Genomic DNA, 18,749 nt, shown 5'->3' on the forward strand with positions numbered 1-18,749 from the left:
ATCCCAGCACTTTGGGAGGCTGAGGCAGGTGGATCACCTGAGGTCATGAGTTCAAGACCAGCCTGGCCAACATGGTGAAACCCCATCTCTACTAAAAATACAAAAAATTAGCTGGGCATGGTGGCGGGCACCTGTAATCTCAGCTACTCAGGAGGCTGAGGTAGGAGAATTGCTTGAACCTGGGAGGTAGAGGTTGCAGTGAGCCAAGATCACGCCATTACACTCCAGCCTAGACAACAAGAGTGAAACTCCATCTCAAAAAAAAAAAAAGGTGAGATTAATTTTAATAATATTTCATTTAACTCAATATATCCAAAATACCATTTCATGCAATCAATATAAAAAGTTATCGAGATATTTTGCATTTTGGGGGCATGTGTGTATGCTAAGTACATACTACACTTAGAGCACATTTCATTTCAGACTAGTGACTTTTTAAGTGCTTGATAGCTACAGGTGGCTAATGGTTCCCATATTAGATGGCATAGCTCTAATATATCATGCTCTCTCCCACTTCAAGACCTTCACACCTGCTGTTCCCTCTTCCTGGAATACTCTTTGTCTTTCTCTTGTCTAACTAATGTGCTACTCTTTTGTCAATCAAGTCTCAGTTTAGAACCCACTTCCTCTAGGAATCCTTCTCTGAGCCATCTAGATAAGATGTCTCTACTCTGACCTCCCAAAGAATCCTGTACTTCTCTTATCAAAACACATGATCTTACTTTATTGTCATTGCTGTTATATATTCGGTCTCCCTTGTTGCCCAGAGCTTTGTGAGGACTGAGACCCTGACTGCCTTGCTTACCTGTATCACTAGCAATATGTAATAAATGCAGAAGTCCTCAGCTTTTGCCTCCCTCTTAGGACCTCTTGGTCTGTTTTATTCTTGGTCCGTTTTATCCTTCAGATATTGTGGATGGAAACCTGAAGTCTATCATGAGGCTGGTCCTTGCCTTGGCAGCTCATTTCAAACCTGGCTCCAGCAGGACGGTGAACCAAGGACGGGACTCCAGAGCCCCTCTGCAAAGTCACCGACCACACTGTGCCACTGCTGTTGCCCAGGGAGCAGCTGCTGCTCTGGCCGATGTGTGTCATGACATGTCCCGATCAGGACGGGATGTCTTTCGATATAGACAGAGGTAAGGGTAGAAATCTGGGGGTGGGAACTGATCCCTCTCTCTGATACTTCTTCTGTTAGATGATACAGTGCAGTAGATAGAAACGTCACCCAAACAGCCCCAGATTGCAGAAAAGAACATGGAGTGGGGAGGTAGGGGAGGGCACTCTCAAAAGAGAAAAGCCTTTTCTTCTGAGATGTTTATTTTTATTTTGCATTTAGCAAAAGTAAAGGAATCTTATGTGTAAGTTTTTGCTCTGGTGCCCAAAATTTAAATATACACTTTTGGCACAGTGTGTTTTCTTCACTGGGAGGTCCGTGGGAGCAGTGTTCCAGTTCATCTAGAGGAAGCTCCACTCTGGAATGTACCCAAAGGTCAGGTTGTCTTGGGAGTCATGGCAGGAAATGCTTTGTGGGTTGTGTATCTGCTAAGAGAGAGCAGGACCCTGAGGTGTTGCACAGGTTGGTGAATTACTTGTTTTTTGTCTGCCTTCCCTGCTAGGTACCAAGTGTCTTTGAGGCAGGGGTTTTGTCTTACTCATGTGTGTATACTGCTCGCAGAGTGGCAGTCTCTCTGTACTTGTTGAGTTGATCTGATCTGAAGGACTGACACCTTCCCTTTGCTGGGGTCCTTTGACTTTAGGAACAGCAGCATGGATGAGGAAATTGAGAATCCATACTGGAGTGTGCGGGCCCTAGTGCAGCAGTACGAAGGGCAACAAAGGTCCCCGTCTGAATCCAGCTGCTCCAGGTAACTGTGGCCTCTGAAACCTGAATTCTGGAGGATTCTCGGAGTTCTCGGCTTCAAGTAACAATACAACAAGCAAAAAGGCACCTAAGCCCTTTTTCTCCCCTCAGTTTATGTTTGGCTTTAAAGGGATACCCCTTAGCAGTGCTTTGTGGGTTTGTGCTAGTAGGAGGGTAGGAAGGTAGGGTGGGGTGCTGGTTTATTTCCCACAAATGGAATCTGTGCAGTCCCAGTGCCAGTGCTTAACTGTGACCACATGGGGGCATGGCTGGAACCTGTCAGGGCCCAGTCCAGTGGTTCTGACATTTGCATATGAGGTGCCAGTGTTTATGATAGCCAGTTCCATTGTGCTGTCCTTGAGCCTAAGTGTAACTCTTAAGGCCGGAAAAGTCTGTGTAAAGCTCATAGAAGAGAAGAAATTGAGCAGAGTTGTCTTAGAGCATTAGAATGTTTCCAACTTTCCTCTACAGGAACTGTGGCTGATTAGTATGTGTTTGAGCAAACTAATGATGTTTGCGACTCTAGCTAAAAGTTGTGTGTATCCTTTAGAGCCAAGTACAGAGACCAAAACAGGATACAGTGCCCTAATAAAAACCTTATCAGTGGCAGAAAAAAGATTACTTTACTGGCTCATGTAAATTGTGCTTCTATAAACACTCCCCAGATCATGTTTTTACTAACTTCATTTTGTTGCTGAATCATAATTTATGCTCTAATGACCTTTTCTTTCCTATCCCAACCCTGTGTAATCTGCTCTATTTAGGGCTAATTGTTCCTTGTCTTGTATGTATGTTATGTGTCCTTGTTTTCTTCCTCCTATTTTTTTCTCATAAAACTCCATCCTATTTTAATGCACATTTCCTAATTTATTGAGGTCATATGGAACTCTTTCTAGTATTTTAATATACTGGTAAACTTGCTAACTTTTTACCTTTTTTACATTTAATAGCTGTGCTCTTTCTTACTTATAAAATTCACATAACATAAAATTAACCATTAAACATTATAAAGTGTACAATTCAGTGGCATTTAGTATCTTCATAATGTGGTGCGACCATCACCTCTATCCACTCAGAAGACATCTTCATCACCCCAAAAGGAAGCCCTGCGCCCATTAAGCAGCAGGTGTGCTTTTAATGAGAATCTAAATCATTTCTTCCTTGCTTGCTGCTTAGGTTATCACCTGGAGCGGAATTACAGGATGTTTTGTTGTATTGCTTCCTGCACTTCTGCAGGCCTTTCACTCTTCTGAGCCTGATAGTGCCTGCTAGAGTTGGTGGTAGGAGGAAGAGTGGATTTCTTCCTGAGGGCACCTGCTTTCTCCTCCAAGGCAGGAGGACTGAGGGGAGGGCTGTGAGACTGTGAATGTGTGAATGAGGGGCCCACCGGCTATCAGGCTGCAGTGAGCTAATGGTGACAGTTTTCTAGGAGAGGGGCCAGAGGAGAATTGTTTGCTTTACCCTGTTTTTCACTACTGGATTTTGACATTTTCTTCTAATGCTGACCCCTCATCCAGCTCTTTGGCATGCTGGGTTAGTAGCTGCCTTTTCCTCAGTGAGTCCCTGGGGAAGGAGAGGGCTTCTTGTGGCTATCTGGAACCCAGCAGGTTCCCGCACATTCTGAGCCCTCGCCCCCAGGGAGCCCACTTAGTGGCTCTGTGACCCATGAAGAGCCCAGGAGCCCCCAGATGTGGCTTGCTCAGGACGGGAGTGGCTCAGAAGGAAGGATAGCCCCTGGGTGTCTCATTCCCTGCCACTGCTCCTCCGGAGACGCCCTGGGGAAGCCCTGCCAGCCTGTTGCTCCGAAAACCGCATACCAGCCTCACATTGTAGCCAAGCAAAATGATCCTTAGTTGGTTAAAAAGAACACACGAAACGCCAGAGGGGAAGGTGGGAGGGGATAGGTGCTCGGCGAATTTTCCTGGGGAGCGTCAGAGTCTCCACCCCGAGGAGCGGCCAGAGCCCCATGCGGGCCTGACCTGTCCGACCGACCCCTCGTCCACCAAGGGAGGGCTCAGAGTGGAGAAGGCAAGGTTTTTGGTGCGGGGCTCCCCAGCACTCAGACCACTAGAGCCCTCCTCGTGATTCTGCCGATACGCGGCTCTTCCCCTGCCTATCCTGAGGCTCCCAATCTCCTCTCCTCGCATCCCCCAACCCCTCGTCGACGTCCCCACCCCCACCTCCACCCCGCCCAGCCCCGCCCCTGGCCCGCACCCTCAACCTCCGTCCAGAGCGGTCGGTTGGCCAGCGGAGCTGGCTTGGGTCGGAGCCCGGCTGCCTCGCCGCGTGTGACAGCCCAGGGAGGGAGCAGAGGGTGGGGCGGGGAGGGATCCGGAAGGTGGCACGGAGTGGGATCGCCGCTGGGGACTCGAGGCGCAGCCTGCGCCGCCGGGAGCCTCCCTCCCAGTGGGAGATGGGTTGAGATGCCCCCGCCAGGGGGGATGCCCGGCACCGTGCGTCCGCGGAGGCCAAGATGCAGCGGCCAGGGGCCGGCAGCCTGCGAGGGGAGGCAGCTTCCGCCGGGGCCGGGCTGCTGCACAGTCTGAGCGGCCGGGACTGCGCGCTTCAGAGCCTGGAGCATCCCAGTCGCTGGGGCCGAGACGCCGCCGCCGCCGCCGTTCCCGCTTTCTCCCGCGAGCCGGGCCAGTAGCTTTGCTAGCTGGCCTTCCCGTGGAGGCGTTTTCCAGCCCCAGCGCGGGGAGACATGCCTGAATTTGGGAGCGATGTGACTCTCAGCCTCCCACTTCACCCGGGGACGCAGGCTTGCTGAAGCCCGAGACAGGAGGGGGACCATGGGAGGGACGCAAGTCAAATGGTGAGCTGAAGCCACTCTGGCTTTGGAAGTGGGGGGCCTGGGTGGGAACAGGGGCAGGGCTGGAGGATGCTGTTGGCCGGAGACAGGCGGGGTGGTGGGAGCATTATGTTGGGAGGACCGGCTGCTGACCAGGGGTTATCACTATAAAATACGGTGGGCGTAGGAAGTGGAGCCAGCATGGGGGGAGGATGAGTAGCCCTTGCGCCTGCCAGGGTCTTTGGTGGGGGAGGGCACTTCATGAGGATATAGAACTCTTCCTTATTGCCTATTACCCGTTTAAAAAAATTAATTTGAGTGGGATTTGGAAGTATCTTTGCTGCAGGATTGCTTGTCTGATAAATTAAGATAGAAGAGCTATTAGACCTGTGGGAATTAAGAAATGTATCAGCCAGACCTGATCAGTCATTCTCTGACCTCAGAGAGGATTATGATGCTAAGTAGGGGATTGTTTATAAAATAGGACTTTTAAGCTAATCAGGGAGGAGCCTGTCATATACATAATTAATTAGCATTAAAATATTTTTTTCTGACCTGGGGCAGAGGATATAATGCATATTCCTTGTCCATGAGGTACTTCTTTAGGGAGGCAGCAGGGTGCCTGCTCTGACATGTGCCTCGGGAGTTTCCTGCCTGAGGTCCTTTATCTCTCCACTTGGCCATCGAGTTTCATGGTCTCACCTCTCGGTGGCCTCACATTGGCAGCCTCAATTCAAGAAAGAGAAATGTTGTTTTCCTTTGGCTGCTCTGCCACTCCCCCAGCGGGGATGGATATCCAGACATCCGCCTCCTTCTGCCCTTATATGGGAGATAACTCTTAGGAAGGAGAAGGAGCTGAGCATGCGTCTGTGCTTTTAGGAAAGCAGTTTTCTAGCATCCTAGGTTCACACTGCACCCTCCTCCCCGATTTTGTCTCACACTTACCAACTGTGGTCCAGCAAAGTCAGAGGATGGAACATGTCATCCATAGCACCTTGTCAGATGAGAAAGTGTTTTCTTGTTTCTCAAAGATGAGCAGCTCTTGCAGGCCGCTTTCTACACTTGGATTCCCATTTCTGTAAGAAGGTAAATGCTGAGGCCTGAGCAGGCACAAATCTATTCTCCTTGTGAATGACATAGTACACTTGGATGAGAGCTTTTCAAGCAGCTAATTCATGTTGGCCTGGAAGTCAAGATTGCCTAAGCGGTGAAAGATGAATAAGAAAGTTCTAGAAAGCAATTGCTATTTCGGAATATCACTTCTTGCCACTCCCTACCCCTCCTGCCTGTTTGGTTATAGATCTATAGATATGGTTAAGCAACTTTCTTTAATTTGATATTTCAATTTAAAAGCTTTAAAATGTTTTCTGTGGTTCTAAGAAGGAAGAGAATGTATTTCTAGTTGAGGTCATTCCCAGCAAAGCCCCTAAAATACGGACAGTGAGGAGGATGAGACACTAGTCCTCAGGCTGCCTCACTGCTTTTGACGTGCCTGGCTACCTCCACCATGCCTGGCTCTTGTTTTTTACTGGATTCTAGGAGGACAAAATGTTAACTCCTGATCGTGGTTGTGAGGATTCGCCTGGGAGACTTCAGGGGCACATTAAGTGGGTCAGTGAATCCTAGCCACTTTCACTGTTGTCTGGGTGATAGATTTGGAAAGAATTCCTGAGAGGGGGCTGGGCCCGGAGACCCCTCAGCCCCTGAGATTCTTTCAGTGCTGATGTTCTCAAGGTGCAGTGCAAAGAGAGATGGCTCGAGACTCCTTTTCCCTGTCACATGGAAGCACCAGCCTCACATTCCCATCTTGTCTTGTAGATTTGCTGTTTTTTTGGAGATTTAAAATTCCACTTCCCTGAAAAATCTGCATAGTTCCTTCCAAGGCTAGTAGTTATATCAGAACTTAAGGGCCAGGTACGGTGGCCCACGCCTGTAATCCCAGTACAGAGGCTGAGGAGAGAGGATCACTTGAGCCCAGGAGTTTGAGACCAGCCTGGGTAACACGGGGAGAACTTGTTCTACAAAATGATTTAAAAATTAGCTTGGCATCATATGCACCTGTAGTCCTAGCTGCTCAGGAGGCTGAGGCAGGAGATTTGCTCAAGCCCATGAGCTTGAGGCTGCCATGAGTTATGATGGAGCCACTGCACTCCAACCTGGGCAACAGAGTGAGACCCTGTCTCAAAAAAATAAAACAAAACAAAATCTTAAGAATTGTTGAGAAGATTCTGAGGACAATTTGAAAGTATTGTGTCAGAAATATAAATAACTTTTTGATAGGAATAAATCAAGTAAACCCTTACTCCACTATTCCTAGCAGGTCTTTCCCCTTTTGACATATTATCTTCCCCTTGTCATGCTCTAGCTCAATTACTGATATATAACCGCTCCTCTGCCCAGCCTGGCAATGTACGCCCTCCAGCAACTTTTCCCCTTGAACCACCCCCACCCTGTACTCTCCTTTGTGATCAGCTCAGAGCTGATCTGCCATGATAACTTGGCTGGTATTGCCTGTATCTGTGAGAGATCAGTGTTTTGGAAATAAAATTTCCTTCTAGCTCCAAAAGCTACTAGACACAGACTGGCATCAGTCTTTGAACGTGGGCCCAGGGATGGTGATGGAGGAGGTGGTGGGAGGTAAAACAAAGCAAAACTTGGAGTTCTTTGAATGCTAGATTACCCATCATTTTGGTAAATCTCTTCTCAATGAATTAGGCTTAAAGGCATCCTTGTTGTGGGAGAGACTTTGTAGGACTGGGTCATTCCTTTATTCAATATTAATTTCATTCATTCAAAAAGTTAATCATTAAATAAATATTTTATTTTCTGTGGGCCAAGTACTGTGTTACCCATGGAGGAGTAAGATGAATAAGAACATGTCCCTGTTCTCAGGAATAAATTATGAAAGCTGCTTTCTGAACAACTCTTCATAATAATCGTTTTTCTTCCTTTTTCTTCAATCACAGCCTGACTTCACCCAGTCCAATCCACAGTGCAAAGAGCGAGTCCATTATAACCCAGTCAGAAGAGAAGGCAGATTTTGTGATTATTCCCGCTGAAGGAATAGAGAACAGAACAGGTACTATCTCTACGCCTGCCTGGGCTGGTTCAAGGAACAGTCAGCTTGAAGAATTTAGAGGTCCCCATCACCAATAAGCTCCCTGGCCTTCCCCATCTCCATGGTCTGTGCGTGCAGGGTCAGCACTAGAGGGCTCTAATGACTTTGAGCCAATTAATGTGGTTATCCTCTTGCAGAATGCCATTTCTGATATCCTAGCTGTCAAAAATCTTGCAGCAGCATAGATAGGCCCTTTCTCAGCTGGCTGCCTATGAATTAGGAAATGACTTTGGGGCAGTCAAAAGCCTTACTCAAGTAAACACTTTTATTATTCCTATCTTATACAAATAATTGCAGGACTTACATAACTTAAATTGGGACCAGAAATGCATTGTATGAGCTGAGGTGTCTGTGAGGGCACAGAGAATAGAGAGCAGGTCTATATCAGGCTTGGTATGAAGCTACAGAAAGGACCACAAAGAGTTCCCTTTGTTTAGACTTCCATACTCTGTCTCAGTTGCTCTTTATTTTTTCTTACATAGAGAGAAAAACATGCAAGAAGCAAAGTGCAAGACTTAGAATTGTATTTACCCACAAGAGTTGTAATGAAACACAGGCCCTCAGAAGAAAAACTGGAATTGAATTCTTCTGTATTCTGCTCCCCATCTAACCCTGGCATTAGTACCAAAGAGTCAGTCATGTTACTGAGTCAAAACTCCTGAGGCCTTAGAGAGAGAGGGAGAGCATTTACTGAGTGCCGCTCTGGGCCAGGCACCAGCAGGCCCTGCACATAAGTTACCTCATTTAATCTTTGCAGCAACCCAGAGGGGTTATTATATTCGTCTCTTGAATGAAGAAACTCACTGAAAGAGTTTATGCCTTTCTGAATTCTAGAATGCATTTTAAATGGCTGTACATACAATTAGATAGTATAAAATAGACAAGGAAACCAGAGCAAAGAGACCTTAAAGCTAGGAAAATAAAAGTGATATTAAACAGTTTGTGCAGGTATGTTTTTATTGGTTTGTTTGCTGTGTGACTCACACAGTATTCTACATGAAAGTGGTCCACTTATGAGTGAGTGCTGAAAGGAATATTGAATTGAAGTCTCCCCTCTAAAGCTTCAGAGTAACCAGTAAGATTTTGTTTTCATTGCATCTGACAGCTCCTCTTTTTGTACCTGGCAAAGTCAGGCTCTTGGAATGCCAGTTCTAAGAATTAAGGGTGAAGTCTGTGTGGCGCATACCAAGGCTCCCGTGGAGGGAATCTTAATACTTCCTAAGAGTTTTAAAAGAGGATAGATTGTTCTAGCACCAAGTGAGCCTGAGGCCTGAGCTCACAGCCAATTCTTTAGGCCTCACAACCCCACCTGGTGGAGAGTCCAGTCTGTGCTATGAGAACAGGTTCAGAACGCAGGTGACCTGAACCTGTGAACGCTACCCTGTGAACGCTGTCTGCTGGAAATCAGTTTTCTTCAACATGAACTGTACTCCCTCTTTTCATTTTTTAGAAGGGACAGATTCTCCATTATCTCGAGACTGGCGGCCAGGGAGCCCTGGAACCTATCTGGAGACCTCATGGGAAGAACAGCTGTTGGAACAACAAGAATATTTAGAAAAAGAAATGGAGGAAGCAAAGAAAATGATATCAGGACTACAGGTAGCTCTCTCCCTTGTAGTTTGCCCTTGTTATACCAATTGATTATTAAGTCAGTATTATCAATGGAAAATAAACTGATTTTAGTTTTCTAGGAGGTCAGAACTGAATGAGGAGTTTAGATATAGGGAATAGCACAGAAAGAGCAGAAAATTCCTTATATTTGAATACTTTAAATGGACTTTGTGGGCTACCGTTCATAGCACAGCGCTTAAGATTTCAGCAAGCCCAGGAGCCATTACTGACCCTTATCAAGTCCTTATTGTTGACTCTGTGCTACATAGGTGGGCTTCTACCCTGTATGTGGCTGCAGACCTGCAATTGCAGCTTTCACCAAAGAATGGCACTGTGAATAGTCTGGGATTTTCTTCTAGGAATTCTCTAGCAGGAAGAGTGTAAGAGCCAGTAATGCTGCCAGGTTTCCATTTGAATTTAGCTAAGGGATTTAGCTCACTCCTAATACATGTGCAAATGGATGCCAAGGCATAATGGTCAGGTAGAAGAGGTTTACTTTGAGCAACAAAGCCCTTCAGTTTTTCCTATACCTGTAGTGCCAGCTCGGCAAATCTACCCGAGACTGACCCACTTGACATAGTTCCCACCCTGAGTGACCCCCTCATTCTTGTCTTTGTGTGTCTGTCTCTGTTTGGGGGAGCGCTTATAGTGTGCTGATGACCCTGAAATTGCCTAGGAATATTCCTTTCTGTTTGTGCTGGGAACTGCAGTGCTTCTGAATTGTCAAATATTTATGGACACGTAAACAAAGCCCACATTATGTGTGTGGCTCTGGCAGCCGGCAGGCGGTGGAGGGCGTGCTCCCAGCTAGCCTGCAACAGGGTGGGGACACAAAAGATTCCTAAAGAAGAAAGGAGATTGGTGCTGTGGCAAAGCAATTTGCATAACGTATGCCCCAGGAACTGAGAAGTGTGGGAGGAATGTTGCCTGCGTAAACATTCCCAAAGAAAGTTGTTGGTTTTCCTTCATTTGCTCTGTATTTTTAAAATGGCTGGCTTATGAGGCCTTTTAGATCTCTTTTCTGCCACTCCATTAACAAATACCTTAATGGAATGTTTTTGTGTGTGTTTTACTTGCATAGGAAGTATGTCATGGAGAACTTTGAGATTATACCCAACCAGGTTGTTCCCAGGATAATTTGCATTATATGAACATAGATATTCATCAGTTTGGCTCAAAGTTTGTTTGCATTTTCTTAGTCTGGGAGAAATTCGATGGCAGATTAGACAGAAAAAGAAGAGAAATGACAGGCAGAAAGTCAGCATCTTAATATTTCCTGCAAACAGAAGAGTTTTAATTCACAGCCACATGATCACAATGAGAATTTGGTTCCATTGTAGAATACAAAAGGGCTCACAGCATCCACTGGGCTTCTTAACTCTTTTCAGTGATTAACAAGTTGCTTGCTAAGCCACATCCAAGATTTCTGACTTATTAGTATTCCTTAGTTAGAACCCTTTGAACAGTTTGCTGTTATAGTTGATATTTCCATAATGTTGAATGCCCTTAGCTCCCCGCGGCCCTGGCTTCTTATATATGTCTGTACCTGTTGCCATGACTGGTGAGATAGCAAAATTCATTTGACTTACTCAAATTTTATTATAAAATGGGGTCACATTTTTCAGTCTTTCACTGACCTGATAGATACTCACCTGCAGGGACAGATCCAAGTTTTGTGAGTCCTCACATATATAATTTGTGTGTGTGCAGGGGGGCTTCTTAAAGAATAAGATTACAAAATTATGAATATAATAATTAGGTATAGGCAACGCATGGTGGGCCACACCTGTAACCCCAGCACTTTGGGAGGCTGAGGCGGGTGGATTGCTTGAACTCACAGGTTTGAGACCAGCCTGGGCAATATGGCAAAACCCTTGTCTTTACTAAAAATACAAAAATTAGCCGGGTGTGGTGGCGCATGCCTCTAATCCCAGCTACTAGGAGGCTGAGACATGAGACTTGCTTGAACCCTGGATTGCAGTGAGCCAAAATCGGGCCACCGCACTCCAACCTGGGTGACAAAGTGAGACTCTGTCTCCAAATATTATAATAATAACAATAATAATTAGGTATAGGACCTTGGGAGAGGCAATGCATGCGGGGGGCCTACAGCTGGAGCTTTCTTAGCTTCATGGTAAATCTGCCTCCCTATTCCACCTACGTATATTCTAATGAAAACCACCTGGGTCAGGAGCTGAAATGAATGAGGACATCTCTCTGCAAATGTGTTTTCCTTCTTGTTCAATAGAGGTTGCTTTAGGGAGTAAAAATGCAGAATCAGTAAAACAAAGAAAAATCAAACAAACCCAAGTGAGTGCTCCAAATGTATTCCAAATAATTCATTATAATACTCATTTCTAAGCCGTGATGATTCTACACTGCTTTTAGATCATTTTCTCCCTGGTAAAATTGAGTTTGAGCAGCTCCAGTTTGAAATGTGTTGTGTCTCTTTTGAAAAAAAGGTTTGTTTTTAGATTTTCTTCTGGGGCCAAGGCACCTTGAAGCAGAGCAGTCAGGTGTCCAGAGAGCTGAAAGAGCCAGAGCATGGACCTAACGAAAGGAACTAGTCCCAGGGTGAGCAATGGGAAGTATCTAAGGAGCAAAAATTACCAACGAAATGTCTTGAGGAGGCTGAGTTGTGATTTTAACTTGGGGTGAGCTTACCAAGTTCAACTCTGGACTAAGTCATCTGAAGGAGAGTTAAGTTTCTTTCTGCCTTTGTGGTTATTCAGGCCTTACTGCTCAATGGATCCTTACCTGAAGATGAACAGGAGAGGCCCTTGGCCCTCTGTGAACCAGGTGTCAATCCCGAGGAACAACTGGTGAGCTCCATCTTTTGTGATTGGACACTAAATCTGTATGTATTTTACTTGTATTTAGCATTTGACACTGCTGTTCATGCCTTCTTGAAATGCTGTCTTCCTTGACCAGTTCTGGTTTTCCTCCTACATTTTTGACCATTGTTTCCTTCTTCATTCATTTAATAAACAAATATTTATTGAGTGCTGACTATATGCCAGACCCTATTTCAACATGCTGGAGATATGGTAGTAACAAAACAGATCTAAGACCCGACCCTTATGGAGTTTACATTCAAGGTCTCTTTGAAGCTTCTCGTTTTCTGCTTGTGCCTTTAATGTTGGTGTTCCTCAGCATTCCAGTCTAGGCCCTCATGTGTCTTAAACATTAACCTGGGCGGTAGTATCTGCCTCCAGTTCTTCACTCACTTCCCTCTTGCTTCTCATGTATTTATTTCCAGCTCAGCTCTTGCTATGGATTTCTAGATTTATGTATGCAATATGCAACTGCCTACTTATTATCTCCACTTGTAAGTCCCATAAGCATCTCAATTTCAGTGAGTCCTAAATTAAAGTGTTTCTGTCCTCTGCCCAACCACCAAAGCTACTTGTCCTTTTGGATATCTGTTTTGGATACCAAAATGCGCCAAACAGAAATCTGAATGTTGTCCTTGAATCCTTTCCCTCTACATACTTCCCTGTACATCCAGTCAGTCACCAAGTTTTACCAGTTTACATTTCTAATTTCTTTATCCAGTTTTCTCCATTCTCACAGCCACTTGAAAATCAAGCCTCCATCCAGTATTCTAACAGCCTTCTCACTGGTTTTCCTGATTCCTCTCCTGTCTTCCCCTAATTAAGTTTTTGTAAAACAGCAAGAATAATTTGCCTTAAAGACAAACTTCATTTTGTAACCCTTCTGCATACAACTTTTCATTGATTCCCCATTGCCCTCACTGGCCTTTCTTGATCTCGCCCTGATATTTCTCTCCAAATTCATCTCTTGCCATTTCTTCTTCCCTTTACCCCACCCCCTCCCCTGCACCCAACCCCCACCCCATACTTATTCTTTTTTTTTTTTTTTGAGACAGAGTCTTGCTCTGTTGCCCCAGGCTGGAGTGCAGTGGCACGATCTTGGCTCACTGCAACCTCTGCCTCCCGGGTTCAAGTGATTCTCCTGCCTCAGCCTCCCAAGCAGCTGGGATTACAGGTGTGCACCACCACACCTGGCTAATTTTTGTGTTTTTAGTAGAGATGGGTTTCACCATGTTGGCCAGGCTGGTCTCTAACACCTGACCTCAAGTGATCTGCCTGCCTCGGCCTCCCAAAGTGCTGGGATTACAGATGTGAGCCACCACGCCTGGCCCACCCATACTTATTCTAAGCTTTATCCATATAGATCTACTTGCTACTTGATGCATATACTTACATCAGAGAGCAGGAACTGTTTCCTGTTCTTTGTATCCACAGTACAGAGCTGGCATCTAGTAGTGCTCAATAAATATTTGTTGAATGAGTGGCTCTGTACTTCACAGCATAGGTGCTTAGCCATCTCTGTTTGTCTTATATTCAGATTATAATCCAAAGTCGTCTGGATCAGAGTATGGAGGAGAATCAGGACTTAAAGGTATGTCAAGACATGTACATTTTACCCCTTAAAAACATTATGGGGGCCAGGCACGGTGGCTCGCGCCTGTAATCCCAGCACTTTGAGAGGCCGAGGCGGGCAGATCACAAGGTCAGGAGATCGAGACCATCCTGGCTAACATGGTGAAACCCCGTCTCTACCAAAAATACGAAAAATTAGCTGGATGTGCTGGCACACGTCTGTAGTCCCAGCTACTCGGGAGGCTGAGGCAGGAGAATTGCTTGAACCTGGGAGGAGGAGGTTGCAGTGAGCAGAGATCGTGCCACTACACCCCAGCCTGGGCAACAAAGTGAGACTCCATCTCAAAAAAAAAAAACACCATTATGGGACTATTACACAACTTCAAGAGGGAAAGGGATTTCAGAATTGGAATCTTTCCTGTATCTGTATTATGTCTTTACTTGAAAGAGAGAGATACATCCCAAATATGTCAGGAAGGTAATAACTTTTTAATCCTGGTGGTAGGTAATAGAATTTCGGTGTCATTATTGGTTGTACCATTCTATATGTTTGAAATATTTCATGGTTTTTATTCTTTAATTAAAAGAAAAAATGTATCTAATACCAGTACAGTCTTTTTTTATAAATACTTCTCAGAATTCTTTTAGGTCAGTGATTCCTAGCTTTTCTTTTGGTCATAAGTCTATGAGTAAAGACATTAACCCTCTCCCTAGAAGTATGCATGTATGTTTGCACTCATACTCATAGACATGAATTTTTTTTTTTTTTTTTGAGACAGAGTTTGGCTCTGTCACCCAGGCCGGAGTGCAATGGTGCAGCCTCAGCTCACTGCAACCTCTGCCTCCTGGGTTCAAGCGATTCTCCTGCCTCAGCCTCCCAAGTAGCTGGGACTACAGGCGCCCGCCACCATACCTGGCTAATTTTTGTATTTTTAGTAGAGATGGGGTTTCACTATGTTGGCCAGGCTTGTCTTGAACGGCTGACTTCGTGGTCCGCCTGCCTTGGCCTCCCAAAGTGCTGGGATTACAGCGTGAGCCACTGTGCCTGGCCGACATGAATTTTTAATAGAGCAACTTTTATTTATTTGTTTTGTTTTGTTTGTTTGTTTTTTGAGACAGAGTCTCACTCTGTCACCCAGGCTGAGTGCCATGGCACGATCATGGCTAACTGCAGCTTCGACCCCCCAGTCTCAAGCGATCCTCCCACCTCAGCCTCCCTAGTAGCTGGGGCTTCAGGAACACACCACCATACCTGGCTAATTTTTGTGTTTTTTGTATAGATTGCTCTCGCCTTGTTGCCTAGGCTGGTCTTGAACTCCTGGACCCAAGTGATTCTCCCATCTTGGCCTCCCAAAGTGCTGGGATTATAGGCATGAACCACTGTGCCCAGCCTAATAGAGCAACTTTTGAGCCCATCTGTGGAGTCCAAGTTACAGATCCCCATTTTAGATATGTTAATTGCAAAATCTTGATGTGATACAATAGGAAGAGAAGAGATTGGGGTCTGTGTTATGGTTGTTCCCCTTCTAAAATCTATTTCCTAGTGACAATCGTATACATATATTTTATCTATTGTAAGGGAATGTTAATTACTCAGTATTTCATTATTAGGCTAAATGTGTTTTTGTTTGGCCCACAAAGAACAATACCCTCTTGGATCAGAAACACTCCAACCCTTTGCTAAACATTAAAAATAGGGATAATTATTTAATGACATTGGGGGTAGGCATATTTAGATATGATCATATATTCAGTGAGAAGGATTTAGATTATTATAATTAGGTTTTCCTGTTGGTGAAGATTGCTAAATATAGAAATGAGAGCCTATGGGAATTATGGGGTATCTTCTTTCTTGGCAACTCTTCTCTACCTGAGCAGTTAAGCCTGGGTGCCAACAGGGAAGAACGGAATGGTTCTCTTCTTGTTTCTGTGGATCAGCCTGTACTGCTCACTGAACCAGAGCTGTTTTCTGCCTTAGTAGAGGGTTAATTTTTCACGGAATGATCAACTGGGTTTTGTCCTCTTGCCGACAGAATGAGGTAATGCATTCTGAAGCAACCCAGATGTCACCATCTGATCTAACTATATTTGGTTTGCAGAAGGAACTGCTGAAATGTAAACAAGAAGCCAGAAACTTACAGGGGATAAAGGTAAAAAAGAAGACATTTAATTCTTTAAATAAAGTCTCTGCAATGTAAAGTAGTCTGTTGGTGAGTGGTGAGAGTTGGAATTTTCTGTGGACCTTTAATAGCTCTGTGCTATTGGTAAAGAAAGGGCTTTGTGGGAGGGAAGTGAGACATGTCGAGGAATATACCTTTGTTTTGCTGAGGCTTATTTCTAGTAGTTATGATTCATGTTGCTACCATTTCCATCTGTTCCACCCTGATTGTCTCTATATGTAAAAGAATCCTCTTCAGTGTGAAAGAATGTCCTCTAGGGCCGGGCGCGGTGGCTCACGCCTGTAATCCCAGCACTTTGGGAGGCCGAGGCAGGCGGATCACGAGGTCAGGAGTTCGAGACCAGCCTGGCCAACATGGTGAAACCCCATCTCTACTAAAAATACAAAAAATTAGTCGGGCGTGGTGGCAGGCACCTGTAATCCCAGCTACTTGGGAGGCTGAGGCAGGAGAATCGCTTGAACCCAGGAGGCAGAGGTTGCAGTGAGCTGAGATCATGCCATTGCACTCCAGCCTAGGTGACAGGGTGAGACTCCGTCTCGGAAAAAAAAAAAAAAAAGGAATGTCCTTTAAAAAAATTGTTATTTACTTTGTTTTTGAATAGTTAACTAACATTCAAATCATTTTAAAGGTATAAAAAGATAAACCATGAAGTGTCTGCCTGCCAGCCCTGTCCCATCAGTCATCTAGTTCTCTTTCCTAGAGGCATCTTTTTTTTTTTTTTGAAACGGAGTCTCGCTCTGTTGCCCAGGCTGGAGTGCAGTGGCGCAATCTTGGCTCACTGCAAGCTCTGCCTCCTGGGTTCATGCCATTCTCCTGCCTCAGCCTCCCAAGTAGCTGGGTCTACAGGTGCCCGCCACCACGCCCGGCTAATTTTTTGTATTTTTTTAGTAGAGACGGGGTTTCACCGTGTTAGCCAGGATGGTCTCCATCTCCTGACCTTGTGATCTGCCCGCCTTGGCCTCCCAAAGTGCTGGGATTACAGGTGTGAGCCACCGCGCCCGGCCTTTTTTTTTTTTTAATGTTGACATGGAGTCTCACTCTGTCGCCCAAGCTGGAGTGCAGTGGCGTGATCTTGGCTTACTGCAATCTCCGCCTCCTGGGTTCAAGCGATTCTCCTGCCTCAGCCTCCCGAGTAGCTGGGATTACAGGTGCGCACCATCACACCCAGCTAATTTTTGTATTTTGAGTAGAGACTGGGTTTTAGCATGTTGGCCAGGCTGGTCTTGAACTCCTGACCTCAGGTGATCCACCTGCCTCGGCCTCTCTAAGTGCTGGGATTACAGGTGTGAGCCACCACGCCCGACCTCCTAGAGGCATCTTAACAGTTATCAGCACATTTGTGTCTACATCGCTTTCCCCCACGGTTTTACCCAAATGGTAATATACTAGAAATAAAACTTGACACCTTGCTTTTTTTCACTTAGTAGTATATCTTCGAGCTCATTCTATGTCAGTAGTACATAAAGACTTTCCTAGGTCTTTTTTATGGCTGCATAGTATTCCATTGTATTCCACTGTATACATACATATATATGCTAAATGATTTATTATACATGATAATTTCTAGTCTTTTGCTAATATAAACAATGATCTAACAGCCTTGAATATATGGTTTTTTTGTGTTGTTTTGTTTTTTCTGAGATGGAGTCTTGCTCTGTCGCCCAGAGCTGGAGTGCAATGGTATGATCTCAGCTCACTGCAACCTCCACCTCCCGAGTTCAAGCAATTCTCCTGACTCAGCCTCCCGAGTAGCTAGGATTACAGGCGTGTGCCACCATGCCCAGCTAATTTTTGTGTTTTTGGTAGAGACGGGGTTTCACCATGTTGGCCAGGCTGGTCTCGAACTCCTGACCTCGTGATCCGCCTGCCTTGGCCTCCAAAAGTGCTGGGATTACAGGTGTGAGCCACCATGCCGAGCCTGAATATATGTTATTTCACCCAAATGGGAGTATATCTGTGCAATAATACCTAGAAGTAGAAGAGGATGTTTTTAAGTGGCTGCTTTTCCCCTCTTCCTTGCACATCCGTTCATGGGCTAGACTATTCACTCAGCAACATTTTCCAAGGTATATTCCGTAGGCTTAGTACTTTTGAAACACTTTAAAAAACAAATGTGTTCCACGGTCAGATAAGTTTGAGAAATGCTCTGCTGTCCTGAAGACTCACTGTGAATAATAACATGTAAAGGATCTGAAAAGGTCTGTCATAAAGAGGTTGGCCTAAAAATGATTTAGAATTAATAACCACAGAAGTGTCTTTTCTCCCATGTAACATCATGTGGCACATTAATGTCCCATGGAGCACATTTTGGGAAATATTCCTTTGAACTACTGATGCCAAGGGCATCTTAGACTTCCTTTACCATGTACTGTCATGGCAGAGTGTATAATTAAGAATGGGCTCCCACATTCTTCAGAGTCTGTACCCTTTCTTTGCAGTCTGTAAAGAGAGAAAAGTCAGGACAAATATATTAGAATGCAGCCCTAGTCCATTAGTTCCATTTGAAGTCACCATGGTTGATGGAATATGTCATAACTGTCCTTATAAGCAAGGATATCCAGCTCACCTTTTGTTAGGCTTGATAGGAACCAAGAGGGTTCAAGCTGAGGGAAAGAAAGCCTAATGCTATTAAGATCATAGGAAATTGGGAAGAGGGATCATGAATCAAAGAACAGTTATGCTCAGTGGAAATATAATTCTAATCCTGGTCCAGACTAGGCATTGGAAGCCATTGGAAGCAGGATAGCAGCAAGGCTCTGGAAGCCAGCATGGGAGTGAT

General features: G+C 45.1%; 1 protein-coding gene across 8 annotated transcripts in view, besides 2 other annotated features; it reads left to right on the plus strand.

Moving 5' to 3' along the window:
* Positions 1-18,749, plus strand: part of DIXDC1 (DIX domain containing 1) — a 95,339-nt gene that overhangs the window by 45,801 nt on the left and 30,789 nt on the right. For 3 of the 8 annotated variants that reach the window (XM_017018466.3, XM_017018467.2, NM_001037954.4), the window contains 7 exons: positions 908-1,139; positions 1,761-1,868; positions 7,622-7,734; positions 9,224-9,372; positions 12,117-12,206; positions 13,756-13,809; positions 15,890-15,940. In XM_017018466.3, coding sequence (XP_016873955.1) covers positions 908-1,139; positions 1,761-1,868; positions 7,622-7,734; positions 9,224-9,372; positions 12,117-12,206; positions 13,756-13,809; positions 15,890-15,940 — 797 coding nt within the window. Of the gene's footprint in view, positions 1-907; positions 1,140-1,760; positions 2,884-4,229; positions 4,680-7,621; positions 7,735-9,223; positions 9,373-11,858; positions 11,959-12,116; positions 12,207-13,755; positions 13,810-15,889; positions 15,941-18,749 lie in introns of those variants that run through there. The other 5 variants (XM_024448743.2, XM_024448742.2, NM_033425.5 and 2 more) reach the window with 4 other exon arrangements.
* Positions 4,120-4,419: a silencer, noted in NCBI's record as "silent region_3905". NCBI's record gives its function as "represses an Ori minimal core promoter by ATAC-STARR-seq in GM12878 lymphoblastoid cells {active_cell/tissue: GM12878}" and the evidence as "EXISTENCE:reporter gene assay evidence [ECO:0000049][PMID:35858748]".
* Positions 4,380-5,010: an enhancer, noted in NCBI's record as "H3K4me1 hESC enhancer chr11:111848219-111848850 (GRCh37/hg19 assembly coordinates)". NCBI's record gives its function as "activates a minimal SCP1, AML or CMV promoter by ChIP-STARR-seq in primed H9 embryonic stem cells {active_cell/tissue: H9 hESC(primed)}" and the evidence as "EXISTENCE:reporter gene assay evidence [ECO:0000049][PMID:30033119]".

This window comes from Homo sapiens, chromosome 11, assembly GCF_000001405.40.
Source record: "Homo sapiens chromosome 11, GRCh38.p14 Primary Assembly".
Taxonomy (NCBI): Eukaryota; Metazoa; Chordata; class Mammalia; order Primates; family Hominidae; genus Homo; species Homo sapiens.